This window comes from Homo sapiens, chromosome 11, assembly GCF_000001405.40.
Source record: "Homo sapiens chromosome 11, GRCh38.p14 Primary Assembly".
Classification (NCBI taxonomy): Eukaryota; Metazoa; Chordata; class Mammalia; order Primates; family Hominidae; genus Homo; species Homo sapiens.
The window spans coordinates 119,666,480-119,683,287 of NC_000011.10; the positions used below are offsets into that span (position 1 = coordinate 119,666,480).

General features: G+C 54.2%; 1 protein-coding gene across 3 annotated transcripts in view, besides 3 other annotated features; it reads right to left on the bottom strand.

Annotated features, from left to right (window-relative positions):
* Positions 1-16,808, bottom strand: part of NECTIN1 (nectin cell adhesion molecule 1) — a 91,103-nt gene that overhangs the window by 28,382 nt on the left and 45,913 nt on the right. For 2 of the 3 annotated variants that reach the window (NM_203285.2, NM_002855.5), the window contains exons 2-5: positions 11,936-12,286; positions 11,076-11,378; positions 10,623-10,740; positions 8,680-8,831 (exon numbers count right to left, since the gene is read on the bottom strand). In NM_203285.2, the coding sequence (NP_976030.1) occupies positions 8,680-8,831; positions 10,623-10,740; positions 11,076-11,378; positions 11,936-12,286 (924 nt within the window). Of the gene's footprint in view, positions 1-7,909; positions 8,169-8,679; positions 8,832-10,622; positions 10,741-11,075; positions 11,379-11,935; positions 12,287-16,808 lie in introns of those variants that run through there. The other variant, NM_203286.2, reaches the window with a different exon arrangement.
* Positions 7,100-7,649: an enhancer, noted in NCBI's record as "active region_5632". NCBI's record gives its function as "activates an Ori minimal core promoter by ATAC-STARR-seq in GM12878 lymphoblastoid cells {active_cell/tissue: GM12878}" and the evidence as "EXISTENCE:reporter gene assay evidence [ECO:0000049][PMID:35858748]".
* Positions 7,670-7,719: an enhancer, noted in NCBI's record as "active region_5633". NCBI's record gives its function as "activates an Ori minimal core promoter by ATAC-STARR-seq in GM12878 lymphoblastoid cells {active_cell/tissue: GM12878}" and the evidence as "EXISTENCE:reporter gene assay evidence [ECO:0000049][PMID:35858748]".
* Positions 10,240-10,534: an enhancer, noted in NCBI's record as "tiled region #6199; HepG2 Activating non-DNase unmatched - State 15:Elon, and K562 Activating non-DNase unmatched - State 22:ReprW". NCBI's record gives its function as "activates a minimal TATA promoter and a strong SV40 promoter by Sharpr-MPRA in HepG2 and K562 cells {active_cell/tissue: HepG2 | K562}" and the evidence as "EXISTENCE:reporter gene assay evidence [ECO:0000049][PMID:27701403]".

Below are 16,808 nucleotides of genomic sequence, written 5' to 3' on the forward strand. Positions count from 1 at the left end.
GGAAGGTGGCTGAAACCAGGGCCATGCCACGGGCCAAAGAGGCCCTAAGGTGAGGCTAAGGGAAATGGTTCCTGGCACCACCACAGGGTGGCACCAGAGACCACAGCTGGCCTCGGTCAGAGCCACTAGGCTGCGGGTCTAGGGCAAGCCCAGAAGGCTGACCTCAGCCGCTCAGGCCCTCCTTGCTCCAGGCCCACGTAAAGGGCCAGTTTGCCCGTATACTGTTTGCCTGTATACTGCTGCCAGCTCACTCTCTGATTCAGTATCTCTCACTCCATGGGAATCATGCTCCTCCCTGAGCCCACTCCCTCCTCCTGGGGCGTGTGTGGGGTGCTATCCCACTCGGCAGGCTGCAGCAGGGTGGAGATTCTAGGAAAGAGGAAAGGCCTTCCAGGAATTTGGGCGGGAAGGGCTGACGAAAACACAGGGCCCAAGGAAGGGGAGGCCACTCACTCATCCAAGGTCACGCGGCTGAGCCAGGACCCCCCAGGGGCTCCTATACACGTGGGCACTGGCAGAGGAGCACTGCCATGGAGGACCCCGCTCCCCACCTGCCACCACCATCCTCGGTGCAGGTCAGCCAGCAGCTGCCCAGTACATATCCATGGGATCTTTGTCCTGACCGCCTGTCTCCGCAGCAGCCTCCCTGGAACCTCAAGCATCTCCCGGCTCACCAGGTCCCATCTGTTTACCGCCCTCAAAAGGGCCCCGCAACTGCTCCCCACGAGATGGGAGCAGCCTCCACCAGGGGTTCCCCAGAGGCAGCTGGGAAGAACCTAGCCTCCTCTGTACTCAGCCTGCCTGCCCCCCTCCTCGGTTCTCACCCAGATCTGAATGATCTCTCCTGTCTACACCTGCCTTCCTCTCTTCATCCATCCCTCCCATCAGCAAACATACTGAGCATCTATCCTGCTAGTCACGGGATATGAGAAACTCACAGCCTCCCCAGGGAAGCAAAGGACACTCAGAGACAGCACATGCAGATGTTAAGGGAACAGGCAGGGAAGTGCAGGGTGCAGGGGAACGGGGTGGTGTGTCTTGGCATTAGAGAAGGCTTCTTGGAGGAGGCCGGACTTGGAGAGGCCAGGAGGATAAGGAAGCATCCAGATGGAGGGAGCTGCCATTTTTCTGAAACATGTCCCTTGCCTTCCCATACAAGATTCCGTGGTTCTCGGCTTTCCTCTCTGAGTGCTATCTCCAGCTGTGTTGCTCCTTTTCTCTGTTCCAGCTGTCTCGCTGGACGCTTTGTCCTGGGACCCTCAGCCTTGACCCTCTGCTTTCTTTCCTAGTGACAGACTAGTATCAACTTCTGGAGTCACCCTTATCCTGCTGGCTGTCCAAATTATTTAGGGTACATAGTTCTCGCCCAACTCTGGGACTGTATCTCCACAGCATCTCCCAAACTGTGGCCCATGGAATCTCAAACCATTGGCTCAAAGGGTCAGCAAAAATAGGGGGGTCGAGATGTTGGCTTAGACAAAAGCATCAGAGCCTGTTACCTTCTCGTGCACACTGTGAACTACTAGAGGGACACGTCAAATGCCATGTTTCCCAACATACTGGAACATGAACCCCATACCTCCTGCCTCCAAGACAGTCTCACATAACTGATATCTAGGTGGACACATTAGAAAAACTGACCTCTAGCACACCCTCATTTGGAATTCTCACCACCACTTCAAAACCCATCTGTACCAACCTGGTTTGCCATCTTCCTTCTAAACCCTCTCCATTCGATACAACTTCCTGTCGCCACTGTCACCACCATGGAACTTATGCCAGGTTTTACTGCTGTGGTCGATTCCTAAATCTCCCACTTTCCTTTTGCCTCTGCCTGCCTTGAATCACCCCACCCGCAGTCACCAGGTTAATCTTCACTCTGTAGACACAACCACTCGCTTTCTCAAAGACCAGCAATGGCTCCCCAACTGCCTGTTGGGCTGTGCAGTCTGGCCTTCAAAGCTTCCATCATGCAACCGTATCTTGGGTTTGGTCAACTCACCTTCCTTGCTGTCCTTGTTATCCAAGTTGATTCCTTACTGCAAGCCTTTACACATGCAGTTTGCCCCGCCAGGAGTGCCTTTCCTCATCCTCCCTCCCCACCGATTGCACTTCTCCAGCCCCTTCTTCAGGAGCCTTCTCTTCTCCAGTTTACCGTGATCTTTTTCTCTTTCGAATTTTTATGTACTAATGGTCTGCACCTCTCATTCTGGTTGTGACAATTGCTAAGGTCATTCCATTAATCACATACTGACATAGCATGGTAAAGCCTGTATAAATTGCAAATAAATGCAAATTAGAAGTTACCATGGCTGGCTCTGGTCCTTCTGCCAGTTTTCAAATGGCTAAAGTTCTTCTCTTCTGCAGGAATGAGGACAGGGTTTGAGGAAGTGGCAGCCTCATGATCATTTGGGATTGACTCATTTCAGTGTGTTGCAGTAGTCTATAAGCTCACTATTGTTACATTTGTGCTTTCTTCAACAGCAGAGACCCAATAAAAAATAAAGCTCTCCTACATCTTCCTCAACTAGGTTGAATTTTCTGGACCTCTCAAGCCACATCATTGCAGTATGGTAGAGTGTACGGTCTTATCTGTTTCACAGGAATGACTGGTGTCCCAACTAGTTTGTAAGTTATAATTGAAAATGCAGGCTGGGCACAGTGGCTCATGCCTGTAATCCCAGCACTTTGGGAGGCCGAGGCGGACGGATCACCTAAGGTCAGGAGTTCAAGACCAGCCTGACCAACATGGTGAAACCTCGTCTCTACTAAAAATACAAAAATTAGCCAGGTGTAGTGATGGGTGCCTGTAATCCCAGCTACTTGGGAGGCTGAGGCAGGAGAATTGCTTGAGCTGGGAGGTGGAGGTTGCAGTGAGCCAAGTTTGTGCCATTGCACTCCAGCCTGGGCAACAGTGCAAGACTCCGTCTCAAAAAAAAAAAAAAAATGCACCTTGAACCTGATCTCTTCTCACCGTCTCCATCACTACCACCCTGATCCAAGATACTCTCATCTTTCATCTGGATTATTGATTGCAATAGCTGCCTAACTGCTCCCCTGATTCCATCCTTTCCCTCTGTGGACTGTTTTCCACACAGCAGCCAGACAAATCCTGTTGAAGTGTAACATATCTGCTCAGAGCCCTCCAATGACTCTCCCTAGAGCCTTAACGTGCTCTGCTTGCCCTACGCCCCGCCCCACCTCTGAAGTCATCTGTTCCCGCTTTCCTGCAGGCTTGCCCCACTCCTGGCACACACTGCACGGGCTGCCCTGCCCCCTGAAAGCCACTTCCCCAGGGCCCCCAGGTTCACTCCTTTACTCTCTTTGGGACACAGCTCAAATAGCCCCTTCTCATCAAGACCTTCCCCAACTACCCTATTTAAAACTGCAGCTCATAAGCCCACTCCACCTGTGTGGTCCCTAGCACTTGGGATCCCCTTACTCTCTTTTTTTCCTCCTCAATATCACCTTCAAAATTACTACTTTTTTTTTTTTTTTGAGACGGAGTCTTGCTCTGTCGCCCAGGCTGGAGTGCAGTGGCTCAATCTTGGCTCATGCAACCTCCGCCTCCCGGGTTCAAGCGATTCTCCTGCCTCAGCCTCTTGAGTAGCTGGGATTACAGGCATGTGCCACCACACCCGGCTAATTTTTGTAATTTCAGTAGAGATGGGGATTTCACCATGTTGGCCAGGCTGATCTCACACTCCTGACCTCAGATGATCCACCCACCTCAGCCTCCCAAAGTGCTGGGATTACAGGTGTGAGCCACCACGCCCAGCCTACATATTTTTTAAAAATGTATTTTATCTATTGTCTTTCCTCCTATGCGAAAACGTAAGCTCCACAAGGATAGGGACTTTTTGTCTGTTTTGCTCATGGATTTATACCAAGCACCTAGACCGCTTGTCATGTGGTCAATGTTCAAGAAGTATCTGTTGGACGACAGAATGAATTCTACAATGGCAAGATTATGTCTTAGAGATAAGCCTTGTTCTAGGCAGAGCAAGTATTGTAAGGAGAGACTCGAATAAACCTGCATGGGGCCCACTGGGACCTTGTTTCTCTGGAGTGGGTGACAGGAGGAGTGGTGTGGTGGCTTGGGACCAGATGACACTAGGCTTTTTTTCTCCTCCAGGCCTTCTATTTAATTCTTTTTCCTAAGTCCTTTTTTTTTTTTTTTTTTTTGAGACAGAGTCTCGCTCCATCGCCTGGGCTGGAGTGCAGTGGCACGATCTCGGCTCACTGCAACCTCCGCCTCCCAGGCTCAAGCAATTCTTGTGCCTCAGCCTCCTGAGTAGTTGGGACTACAGGCACGCACTGCCACACCCGGCTAATATTTTGTAGAGACGGGGTTTCACAACGTTGGCCAGGCTGGTCTCGAACTCCTGATCTCAAGTGGTCTGCCCACCTCGGCCTCCCAAAGTGCTGGGATTACAGGTGTGAGCCACCACGCCTAGCCAACTTTTTTCCTTAAGTCTTAAGGAGGTTTACTCTTTCCTGGGGATCTTTTGGGACCAAAGAACCCCGGTTATTTTGTTTAGGGCTGGGCCTGTGTAGCAGCAGCAGAATGGCTGGGATGACCTTCCAGCATCAAAGACTTTCGAGTGAGGATACTGAGTGAGGGAGAGAAGAAAGGAGAAGCATGGGGATCTAACTCATTTGCAAGCAGAAGGGGCTGTCTGGCGTGGAGTGGAGCGTCCTCCCCTCCCCCTCCATCCCTCCAGCTGTTACACTCAGCCAGTAGCTCCTGTCTCTGTGCCAGGAGCAGAGCTGCAAGGGCCGCAGCTGGGAGGAGAGAGAAGAGCCAGGCCGCAGGGTCATTTGTGTTTGCTGGCAGGGGCCCAGCCAGCCTCCCTCACATCCTCTTACAAAGGGAGCAGCTTGTCCCTATTCCTGAAGGGTTGTAACCTCTCTTCTGGGGTCCCTGGCTGGCCAAGACAGTGGGGAAGTGGGGGCTCTGCATGCCTTTGGGGTCCTGGTTCTCTGACTGAGGTGGGTGGGCTGGTGCTGGGGGCTTTGGATAGATCTGAGGTGGAGTGAAGTGTTAGGGCTTACAGTCTGGATCTAGGATCTGGAGGTTTGGGGTCAAAGAGAATGTTTGGGTTTGCCTCCGAAACCAATGCCTGGCGCTTCCTCAGGCAGGAAATGCTCCGGCATCAGATTAGGCCTGGAAGCTGCAAGAACTACACCCCCCAGCATGCAGTGCAGCCAGCCACAGGGAGAGTGGGGAGGCCTGGGGTCCACCTCTGGGAAGCCCTTCTGTCCATCTGCAGCTGCAGCAGCTGTGCCTCGTGTCAGACCATCAGGCAGGGCCTCGGCAAGCTGGGGGAGAACCGAATCCTCCCAGAGGCACGGATGCAGCTGCCTTCTCAGACCTCCCAACACACTGCCATTCGCTGGCTCAGAGAATGGCACGTTGCCACGGCACAGCCACGGGCTCCCACATGCACACTCAGCATGCAGACGGAGCCTGTTCACACTGGTTCACATTTACATGCCCAGAGACACATGTCCATACCATGGCTGGGCATGCACACTTGCAGGCTCACACCTGCCTCCCTTCCAGGACACTGGCCTTCAAGGCCCGCAATTCTGGGTCTGAAGAACTCCAGGACTGATGGGCAGACTGTGACCCTCACCTGCAAGGGATGAGCCCGGGCTTCACTGGAAATGTGAGTTGGGACAGACGCCCTGCACCCTGGGATGGACATCCTACACCCTGGCAGCCTCCCTGTCCTGCTCTTGGGAGTGGCGAGAGGCTGGGTCCCAGCTGGAGAGGCCTGGCCTGTCTCCTCCCGACACCCACAGGGATAGAGGCTGCCTCATCTGTTTTTTTTCAGTCTGGTGGAGGCTGCACCCTGGGCCTCTCCCCACCTTGTCATTACCCCAGAGGGAGAAGGGAGGGAGCTTCATTTTGTGACCACTGGGCCCACCCCATGAAACTGCTCCTCTGTGTAAGGGCCTCTGAAAGGGGTTCTCTGGGGCCTGTGCCCACGGAAGCACACACAGATTCTGTCCGGTCCATCTCCTCGGTGCCCCCATCGCCACAGCCACAGCCTGGGCCTGTTGTTTCCCACTAGGGACTCACTCATGGTGGCAGCTCCTAACGGGTGTGCCGGTGCCATCCACACAGCCCCCTGAATGCTCAGTCTAACCCACACACCTCGCCACGGTGCTTCCTGGCTGAGAGCCCTTCAGAGACTCCCTGTGGCCAACAGAGAGAAGGCCTTGCTCCTTCCTCCCTGCCCACTCTGCTCCAGCCATTTTCCTTCCCATGCTTCCCTGGCCTGGGCATCCCGCCCTCCAGCCCTGCCTACTCACTCATCTCCCAGCAACCACTCAGTGCTCCTTCCTCAGGGGCCCAGGTCCCCAAGAAGCCATGCCAAAGCGAGTCTGCGCAGGTGTGCAGTGGCCCAGCACACACGTGTTCTGCATATGCGTGTCCCTCCAGCACACCCCCTGCTGCCCACCTTCTGCCCTGCCCCAGTCACTCCTCATTTCCCTTTCCAGATGTGCCCAGGGTAAAGTTATTACCCGAACGAATGCCCAGAATGAAAAATTAAATTTCCACTTATCCCTCTCGCTCATGCATTCCCTCTGGACCAGTGGGGCTTAGAGCAAGGGCATGGCTGTGCCCTGCGGGGTGGGCTCCCCAGAGAATGTGGCAGGCACGGGCCGACGTGGAATGGAGGGTGGTGAGGTCAGCTGCTGCTTGGAAATTGCCTGAGAGCACAAGAACAAACAGCCCTGAGAAGGCTCAGGCCAACTCCCTGAGTCCTCTGGAGGGGGCTGAGAGTCCCTTCCGAGAGAGGCCAGCCGCTCAGCGCCTGGGCCTATCAATGATTCAGTGAGTGCCATGCGTCCCTGGCTCCTGCCTAACGGGGCTGCCAGCAAGAGCCATGTTGTGTCCCTCTTCCAGCTGGGACCCTAGGTGGCCCGGCCCTCCTGCCCCCAGCCCACACCCCTCACATGTTGATAGCCCACCATCAGGGGAAGGTATCACCACGCAGGGAGTACTGCATGATCGTAAGAAGCCTGAGACAAGTGTGAGTATCCCCATATCAGAGGTTAGGAAGCCAAGGCTCAGAGAGGTGAAGCACTTGCTCAAGGCCACACAGCTAGGAAGAGCCAGTGTGTGAACACTCAGGCCAGGTCTGTGCTGTCTCCCATGTGACAGTGCCTCCCTGAGGGGTGGTCATGTTCCCTATGGCCACTCCACATGGAACACAGGCCCTGCCCTTCCCACCTCCCCCTTGACTCCCCCAGTATCTCAGAGCTGGAGCTTGGGTAACCATGAGGCTCATTTTGAGCTGTACTTGGACCTTCCCCGCTGGGGAGAAGTGTGTGACACCGGCCCCTTCCACCTGCCAACCCGTGGAAACCCCCCAGCTTTCCCCAGGCTCCAACCCTGATGCTCCTCCTCCTATGACTAGTCTCGGGGCCAAGGCCAGGGATTGCAGACAACAGCAGGTGGCTCCACACTCCCGCCCCTGGGTGAGAGACGTGACAGAACGGCTCTGAGGACAGGTAGGCGCAGACCCTGGACAACTTCACGTGGCTCTTTCTGCAGCTGTGTCCTAAATATACCCACAAATGAGGTCTCCCACTCCCGAGACACTGGCTCAGAGCTCATGAATCCTCGTGGCTTGCAGGTGTGCAGTGGCTTTGTGGCCGGAGCCCAGCAACTGCCGACCAGTCTTCTGTGTCCCTGAGCATGTTACTTCCTATATCTCAGTCACAGTGGGACACCACTTCCTTTTTTAAGACACTCGGTCACCCTGTCACCCTGCAGATAGCTCAGGTCCACTGTAAAAGACGCTCCCCATGTGAAGTTGTGATGGCAGTTTACCCCTGTGTGGACTTGTTTTGATGCTTCCATTAATAATAATGATGATGATGGAGGTCAGGGTAATAATCACGGAACATTGGCCATTTATTGACAGACTGATCTGTGCTAGGTGCTTGACTTACATCACGTAGAATTCTGACAACAGCCCTTCAAGGTACATCATACTGTCCCCGTTTTACAGATGGTGGGGGGGGCCCTGTCCAGGGTCACAGCTGTCTGACATCAAGCCCATGCTCCTTTCACGTCCCAGGTGAAGTCTCTCCTCAGAACATCCTAGCTCTTGTCCTCCCTTTGCCCGGATAGATAAGTTGACAGAAAGCTGCAGGGAAAGCTCAGTTGCAGGGCACACAAAGCACTATGGCTTTGGGCTACATCTTCGCTTTCTCTCCAGTCTCCCTGCTTGAGGTAAGCCTCACTTTCTGGCCCATGAAGAGGTCCTTGACCACAGGTGCAGAGCTTGGAGGAGATGAGCTCCACCTGCAAACCTATCCCCACCATGCCAGCATCCCACAGCGTGTTCTGCTGGCAGATCTACGGGCAGGTTCTATTGGCCCCCAAAACAGCATTGCTGTAAACAGCACTTCCTTCTTCCCTCTCAGAGCCTTCCTCCTGCCCCTCTCTGATTGGGGGTCACCCTGACTGTCTCATTTGCACCCTTTAATGAAAGAAAGAGAAAAGCAAAGCAAAACCAATGGCCAGAGCTCAAGGGAGAACTAGAGAAGCAGGAAAAGGAGATAATCTTCCTGCAGTGGCATTGCTCAAAGGTGAGGGATGCAGGTGGCGAAGGAACCCGTGGGTGCGGAGAGGCTGGGGAGGATGCAGCTTCCTACCTGTGATATTGACCTCCACCTGGCCTGAGCGTGTACCGATGGGGTTGGTGGCCTCACAGATGTAGGTCCCTGCCAGGCTGTAGTTGATGGGTCCCTTGAAGAAGAGGGTTCTGTTCTGGGCCTCCACACCCTTGGGGAGAGAGCCATTTAGCCTGTGGGAAGTGGGAGACACAGCGTAGGGTTATGACTCTCCAGCCTCAAGAAGCTGTTCCTGGGTCACCCACTTGGCTCCAGGCCCCCTAGCCTTTTGCTGAGCTTGTGTGGTAGAGTCTGTCTTTGAAGGAAGAAAAATAATAATAATAATCTCTTTCACTTGGTAGTTTTATATTATTCAGCTTTTCATATTTGATCATAATATGGGAATATAGGCAGGCTAGGTAGGTGCCGGTCCCCCTTAACAGATGAAACCTGAGGTTCAAGGCCAGGGAACCACAGCTAGCAGGCAGCAGCATGGGAGCTCCAGCCAATTCTCGGGACTCCTGGTAAAGTGCTCTTTCTACTTTCCATTCACGTCTCATGGTTGTTGGTCCTTGGTCTCCTGGGCAGCTGGTTAATAATACAGATGCCAGCCAGGTGTGGTGGCTCACGCCTGTAATCCCAGCACTTTGGGAGGCCGAGGCAGGCAGATCACATGGTCAGGAGTTTGAGACCAGCTTGGCCAATATGGTGAAACCCCATCTCTACTAAAAGTACAAAAATTAGCTGGGTGTGGTGGTGCACGCCTGTAGTCCCAGTTACTCGGGAGGGTGAGGCAGAAGAACTGCTTGAACCTGGGAGGCGGAGGTTGCAGTGAGCCAAGATTGCGCCATTGCACTCCAGCCTGGGTGACAGAGTGAAAATCCGTCTCAAAGAAAAAAAAAAAAATAATAATACAGATGCCTTGGTTCTAACCCCAGATCTCCTGAAGCAGAACCACTGGGGCAAAGACCTGGGAATCTGTATTTGACAAGCCACTCAGGTAACGAGATAGGAAGTATGTTCCATTCCACTACTTTGTGTTTTTGCTGGGAATGTCACAGGACCTTTTCATGTGGGAAGTGACTTGCAAATTTGCCAAGGACAAAGGATCTTCTTCCTTCCTCCTGACCCTCAAAGGCCACAAAGCTATTCTGTTGAACCTAGCAGCTCCTGGGTCCACAGAGCTGAAACCAGCCAGCAGGCTCTGCCCACTCACACCTTCAGAAGCACTTTTTATTCCAGGAAGTGGAGGATCATAGGTAGGGCATACCAGTGCCCTCTGCTCCCCAGAAAAAGAAGGCAGACTCCTTCTGGGCAGCTGTCTCCTGGCCACCCATATCAACCTTCTCCTTGGTTCCCCACGTCCCTGTCTTTCTGTGTGTTCCATCCAGCTCTTCTCTGGGAAGAGCCTTGGCCCCAGCTGTCAGAGCCGGCTGGAGGGGAGAAGGCGAAGGCAAGGCAAGGCGAAGACCGTGAGGCCAAGAAGGGGATGGTGGGCCGCAGGGCACGTGCTCCATGAGCACAGGCATTCTAGGCTGGCTGCTGCCTCCTCCCCAAGAATCTGGGGGTGCCAGAGAGAAGGAATAGGGACAAAGAAAGAGCTGAGATGCTCCAGAACACTGGCTTCCCTGGGGACACCTTGATAAAAATAAATACTGGGGGGTTGGGGTGGGAGTGACTCAGACTGAATCACCAAAGGAAAACGACAAAACTCTTTATTAGGAAGAGGGAGGGAAGCAGATCACAAAGGAAACCCCTCTGGCAGAATAGCTTGTTCCATTGACCTTGACACTGTCACACATGGACGTAATGTATATGTGTGTGTTGGGGGTGGGGGTTGTTCTCTCATGGCCCCGCTTCTTACTGAGCCCAGACCCTAATTTCTTCCCTGCCTAAAGGCTCCTGGAGGTAGGATGGTTGCCCCTCATCACCCGTGGTCCAGTCAGCTGTCTTCCAAGGTGACTGGTCAGCCCTGCAGCACTTACGTGGTCCAGTGGTACTCAGTGGCTGGGGGGTTAGCATCAGCTTTGCAGGTGAGCTTCACGTCCATCCGCTGCAGGTACCAGTTGCCATCAAACCCCTCAATGGTTACCTCAGGCTCATCTGTGGGGCAAGGGATGTTTGAAGAGGGTGAGGTCAGGAGAGCGGGACTTAGAACAAGGGAACTTCAGCCAGGAAGGGATGGAAGGAGCAGTGGCATGGAAACAGCCAGGAGAGAGGGAAGTGTGGGTGGGAGGGTGGCAATCACAGAGCCCGGGAGTGGAAACAGGAGGGCGACAGGGAAGGAGGAGAGAAAACGAGCAAAGGGAGGAGATAGGGGAGACAGGAGGGGAGAAGAAAGCACCCCCAGAAAGAGAAAGGGAGGAGAAAGGAGAGGAGGAGGGAGGAGGGACAGTGGCGCCCACCCCAGGAGGCCCCTGGCAGCCAGCCCTGCTCACACTGCACGTTGAGAGTGAGGCTTTCCTTGAAGCGGTCCATGTGGTAGTTGACGATGCAGGCCAAGGACTGCTGGTGGGCTTCCCTGCTGGGCACCAGGCGGTAGCGGCTGATGACCGTCACTGTGCCATTGGGGTTCCGGATCTCCTGGTACTCTGCCTCACCTTTTAACCGAGTTTCCCAGGATACCACACTGGGAGGCTTCCCATTGGCTGAGGTGCAGGTGGCCACCAGGACCTTGTCATCCTGCCCCTTCTTGGCTCGAAGCACTGCCTGGGTACCCTCTATCCAATTGGTGGGTTTGGCTGCGAGGAAGCAGAGAGAGTGATGGGACTAGCCCTGTTGACTTGTCCAAGATGCACCGGCCAAAAGGGCGTGGCATCCGTCAGGCCTTGTCTTCAGGTCCCCTTGGCCATCCCTGCCTCTCAGCTGTGCTGCACCAAAGACTGTCCCAGAACCTCTTGCAGGAAGTTCATCATGTCTAACGTTATGTCCTCCCTGCCCTACTAGTCATATCCCTGTCATCGAGCTTAGGCCTCCTGGAGTCCCAGCATGTCTAAGGCAAGCAGCGCAGGTGGCTCCTTTCCTTACCGTGGTGTCTGATGCTGCTGCCAGCACAGTGCCTTGTGGGCTTCAACCTGAAGAATCACGTTCCCCACTGTCTAGAGATAAGCCCCTGCCCCTAATCCCTAGTGAATTGTGGGGTGGCCTGGCTAGAAGGGACTGGAAGCCTCATGCCTAGAATGATGGCAGCATGCCCACCCAAGGGGGATGTCTGGGGTCATTGAGGCATCCTGAGGATGGCCACGCCCCGAGGTCACAGGCCTCTGGATGAACAGGGAGGGGGCCCAGGGCAGCTTACCCATCACCGTGAGATTGAGCTGGCTTTCTCGATTGCCCGTAGGGAAGGTAGCAAACTCGCAGATGTAGACACCCTCATCCTCCAGCTCCAGGCGGGAGAGGCGGATAGTGCCATCGGTGAAGGAGGGCCGCAGGAATTCCACACGCTCGCGGTAGGGAGCCAGCACGGACACGCCCATGGATGGGTTGTAGATGGCCACGTTCTGCTTGGAGCCATTGGTGGACTTCTGCCATGTGACCTGGGTGATCTTCACGCTGGGAAGCGGGTTGGCAAAGCTGCAGTGCAGAACCACGTCTGTGCCGATGAAGCCATACATGGAGTCGTTCACCTGGACCACCTGGGAGTGGACGCCTGGCCAGGAGGATGGCAGCAAGTGGTCAGTGTCAGGCACAGCCTCCCCCCACCCACACAGTTCCCTGTGCTCTGGCCTTGTCTTTTATAGCAGTCATTATTGTTTTTATTCCGATTGTAAAAATATTAATTACTTGTTATAAAAACACTCTAGGCAACACTGAAAAATCATGAGAAGAAAGTGACAACATCCCATGATCCTTCCGCTCAGGATAATCTTGAAGGATCTATCTCCTTTTACTTTATATCTGTGTATATCCACATAACCATCTATCTATTTTAAAAAGTCAGAATCATGCTGTACATATTATCCCATAAGCTGCTTTTTTACTTAGGGATAGATTATAAACATCACTCTGTGTTAGTAAACATACGTCTGCACCCTCATTTTTGGTTGCTTTTCGAGCAGAGCCCCAGCCTAGGAGCCATGCACTGGCTGCTTTGTCTTCCTGGGCCTTGGTTTCCTCCTCTGTTATATGGGGTGGAGAATCCAGTCCTCTCTACCTCACGAGGTTACTGGGGGAAACAAATGGCGTGATGGACGAGAAGGTGCGTCAGAGGCAGGAGGCTCTGGATGAGCTTGAAGGCCCACGGTGGCTGTCATCATGGCCACCCCTGCTGTCTTCTCCCTCGCAGCTGAGTCCCCATCCCCTGGGGTGCACTAGCTGGGCCCCTCTTACCCAGCTAGGCAGAGGGAAGTGGGCACTGCATAAGGCCAGGCCTCCGCTGGCTCCCCATGGCCTTCACAGCCAAATGTAAATGCCTTCTCTTGGCAAGACCTCCTTGCACCTGCCTCTTGTCCACATCTCTCCATCAGCCACACTTTCCCACCATACCAGACTGGGCCCATCCTCAGAACATGCCACATTCCCGGTTTCCTTCCCTCTTCCTCCCATTTATTCAGCCACGATTTGCCGAGTGACATATTCCAGGATCTAGTGTGAGCATTTGGGTCATATCAAGGAGCAATTGAGTCCCGGCCTCCATGGAGCACAGAGCCTATCCACCCAACACTCCTAGACTCTTACCCAGGCAGCTCCCTCCACCTAGATGGCCCTTCCCCTTCTCCACCTGTGGATGGCCCCCTGAGGCCACCTCCTCCTGGGAGCTTCCCTGATCTTCCCCACCAGAGCTAACCTGGCCACCTCTACCTTGGTTCTTTCCTGCCTTGGAAGGTGGTGGTTACACATCTGATTTCTCCACCAGACTGTGAACTCCTCCAAGGGCAGGGTCTGTCCTTTCCATCTCTGTATCCCCAGTGCCCAGTGCAGCATCTGGCACATAGCAGATGCTAGTAAATATTTGTTACTACACAAATTGCAATGGAAGTCAAGAGAGCAGACATTTGCAAGAAGGAGGGAGTGAAATTCCCTCCAGTCTCCACATGGGTTGTGTTATCCCCTTTAGAATGTCCTTTTTTTGGGCTTCCTTACCCCTGAACTTGGCTCAGCTCCCTTAACGTGGGGCGGTTGTCCTCAGCACTAGGCTGTACACTCCAGCTCTCTCCTGAGTCCTGCAACTCCCCACAAGCCGTGTCCTTGCTGTCATTTGTATACTTCATGTCTTTGTATCCTTACTTCACTCACTTTATTGAGCGTCATCAATAGCATTAATAACACCAGGACCTGTACTGACCCAAGGCAGGGGGAGGATCTAAATGACCCCCCAAGGGAGTCTGGGATCCAAGAGTGGGAATTTGGGGCTTATGCTCACTCACCTCCTCAGCGTGACGGGGATATTGTAGCAACACAGGCTCCTCTGAGGGCCCCAAAACCCATGGTCAGTGCAGTAAGTTGCTCCCCTCTCTTCCGCTCGAGAGGCCACAGGCCAGGTCTCTAGGTCACTGCAGTATCCCTGGTGCTCAGCATAAAGTAGCTACTCAAGAAATGCTTGCTGAATAAGTCTATCTTTGGCTTCACCAAGCCAGGCCCTACCGTGTTCTGAAAGTTTCCCTGAGGTTCCCCCTTCTCTGTGCTGATTCACATCCACACAGCCCTCAAGGTCCATCAGGCCTATCCCCACCCTCACTCCTCCAGCTGTTCCCTCTGCCAGCCTGTGGGGTGCTTCGGAGCTGATGCTCCCTGGGCAGAGGCCCCATGGGTTGGGAATACGATGGGAGAAGTATCCAGCCACGAGTTGGGAAGGCTGGGCTGTAGCCTGCCTCTGCCTTTAGCAGGCAGTGGGACCGTGGCCAGTCACCTCCCCTTTCTGAGCCCTAGCTTCCTCCTCTGTAAGGCAGCAGACTGGCCTCCCGAGTCCCAGTGGTCCTCCTGGTCCTAACTGTCTCATGACAGCCCAGTGCAGCTGTGGCCCCACTCCAGATACAGTTCCATGGTGAGGTCAGTGGGCCAGACGGCCCAGTACTCTTGCTGACGGGCTAGTTGGCAAGCAGCTAAGCCCTAGGCCCTCTCCAGCAGGATAATTGGGTGCTCCCCACCCCTCCCCCAGGCTGCTGGAGGCTGCCCAGTGGCTGAGATAATGTGGGCATAATTGGGGAACTTGCACCACACAAAGCTAGGAACAGGAAAAGCCAGTTGGGAGGGCTTGGGCCCCAGGTGAGAGCGCAGGGAAGGGGTGTGGGATCCAGGAGCCATTTTGGGATTGGTGCCATGCATGGATTGGTGCCATGCATGGTGGACCTGCAACGGGACACGGCCCTCTGAGCCCCTGCAATCCTGTCTCCTCTCATCCCCTGAAGGTGTGGAGGCAGGCAGGGCACAGTCCCTGGGGCACAGGCTGACATTCATTGTCTGAGTCTTCAGTGGTGACCTCACCCTCAGAGCTGTGTCAATGCCAGGAGGGGAGACGGCTGATAGCGGCCAGGCATGGGGTGGGGAGGGTGCTGCAAGGTGGCCGGGCACCCCAGAGGCCCCCTTACATCTACCAATCCCTCACCAGGCAGGGGCAGCCCACGTCTATGTTGGGGTGGAGGTTGCTCTTTTCTGTCCACTGTGGCACTCCCAGAAGCAACCACATGGTGGGGAAGTGAAGGACGTTCCCAGCCTCTCTCTTACTGGGCACCAAGTGGGTGCCCCTCGTCCTGGACATTTTTGCCCTGGTGATGGGCAGGGTGGGGCAGGGCAGGGAGGATCTTTAAGGAGCAGGTACAGACTCACTTTGGTATTTGCCTCTTTGCTACATCTGACTGCTAGCAGGGCCAGGGGAGGTGACCCATGGGGTGAGCATAAGGGAGCTCTTGGAGCAAGGGGCTTAGGGTCATTGAGGGTGGGGACTGGATCCCAGAGTTCTGGAGTTGGGAGGTGCTGGAAGATTGGAAAGGCCTAAAAACTCCACTTCTCCACTCCAGACTTAGGGACCGGGAACCCAAGCCTCGTATTAGGGGCTGCCTGCCTTGGTCCAAGGACTCAGGGTTGGGGAGAAGGACCCTCATTCTTTAGATTGGGAGGTTTTCAGACGGGAGCAGAGTCCAGGTGACTCTAACAGGCGGGTTAGAATGTTAGAGTCAACAGAGGAGCAGGGATCACCACCGGAAAGAAAGAAAGAGCTGGATGGGGGCAAGAATCCTGGAACAGGTGGGCCACGAGAAGGGACCAGGATTGATAAAAGGCAGCCTGCTCCAGGGACAGGCAGCAGAAACAGGGGCTTAAAGACTGCACAGCCCCTCTCCTTGCCAAGCTTCTCCAGACACTGCAGCCTTGACAACCTGAAAGCTGAGCTAGCGTCTCCCACCTTCTGAAGGGCTGTTCCGTCACCACCCTTTCAGGCAGCATGGCGGGGCTGTTAGGAGCCAGGCAGTAGGGGGTTGCATTCCACCTCTGCCATTGATGAGCTGTGCAACCTTGGCCAAATGACTTCACCTCTCTGTAGCTCAGTTTGCACCAATGTTGCACATCTGTAAGATGGGGATTATAATAGCTAATACCTGCCCTATAAAACTGCGTAAGGATTAAAAGAGGGAGTCCATGGGAAACTCAGAAAGCAGCACTTAGGACAAATGAAAGGCTCATTAGATGCTAGCTTCCATCATCATCATCACCATCATCTTTCATCTATGAAGCAACAGGCCTCCCTCCCTGGAACTTCATTCAACAAATATTTGCTGAGCACCTACTCCATACTGGACACTGTAGGGAGTGCTACTAGGCGCCCCTCTTCCAGGACGCCCTTGTGACTGTCATCTCTTCCTACTCAGCTGACAGTTCTATTAATACCCCAATAACATGTAACACTGACCTGTACCCCTTTATTTTCTACTTCCTGGCATATGTGTCTAGCCTGTCTCCCAACCAATTGTAAGCCCCTGCAGGAGATGAAAGGAGCAGGCCTGGCCTTGGGTTGAGTTGACCATGTCACGCCTGCCACTGGCAGGGTCCAGGGCTTGGGGAGTTCCCTGCTGACTTTCTCTGATTCCCTAAGCAGTCAGGGCTGGTCCACAGAACACATCCTGTCTCCTTTCCCGCAGGTTCCCTCTTACATGAGAAGCAGAGGCTGGCCCAGATGTGGGAACTGGGACCACTAAAATGGTAGCATATTGGAGCTTGATGGACCATGCAATCCATCA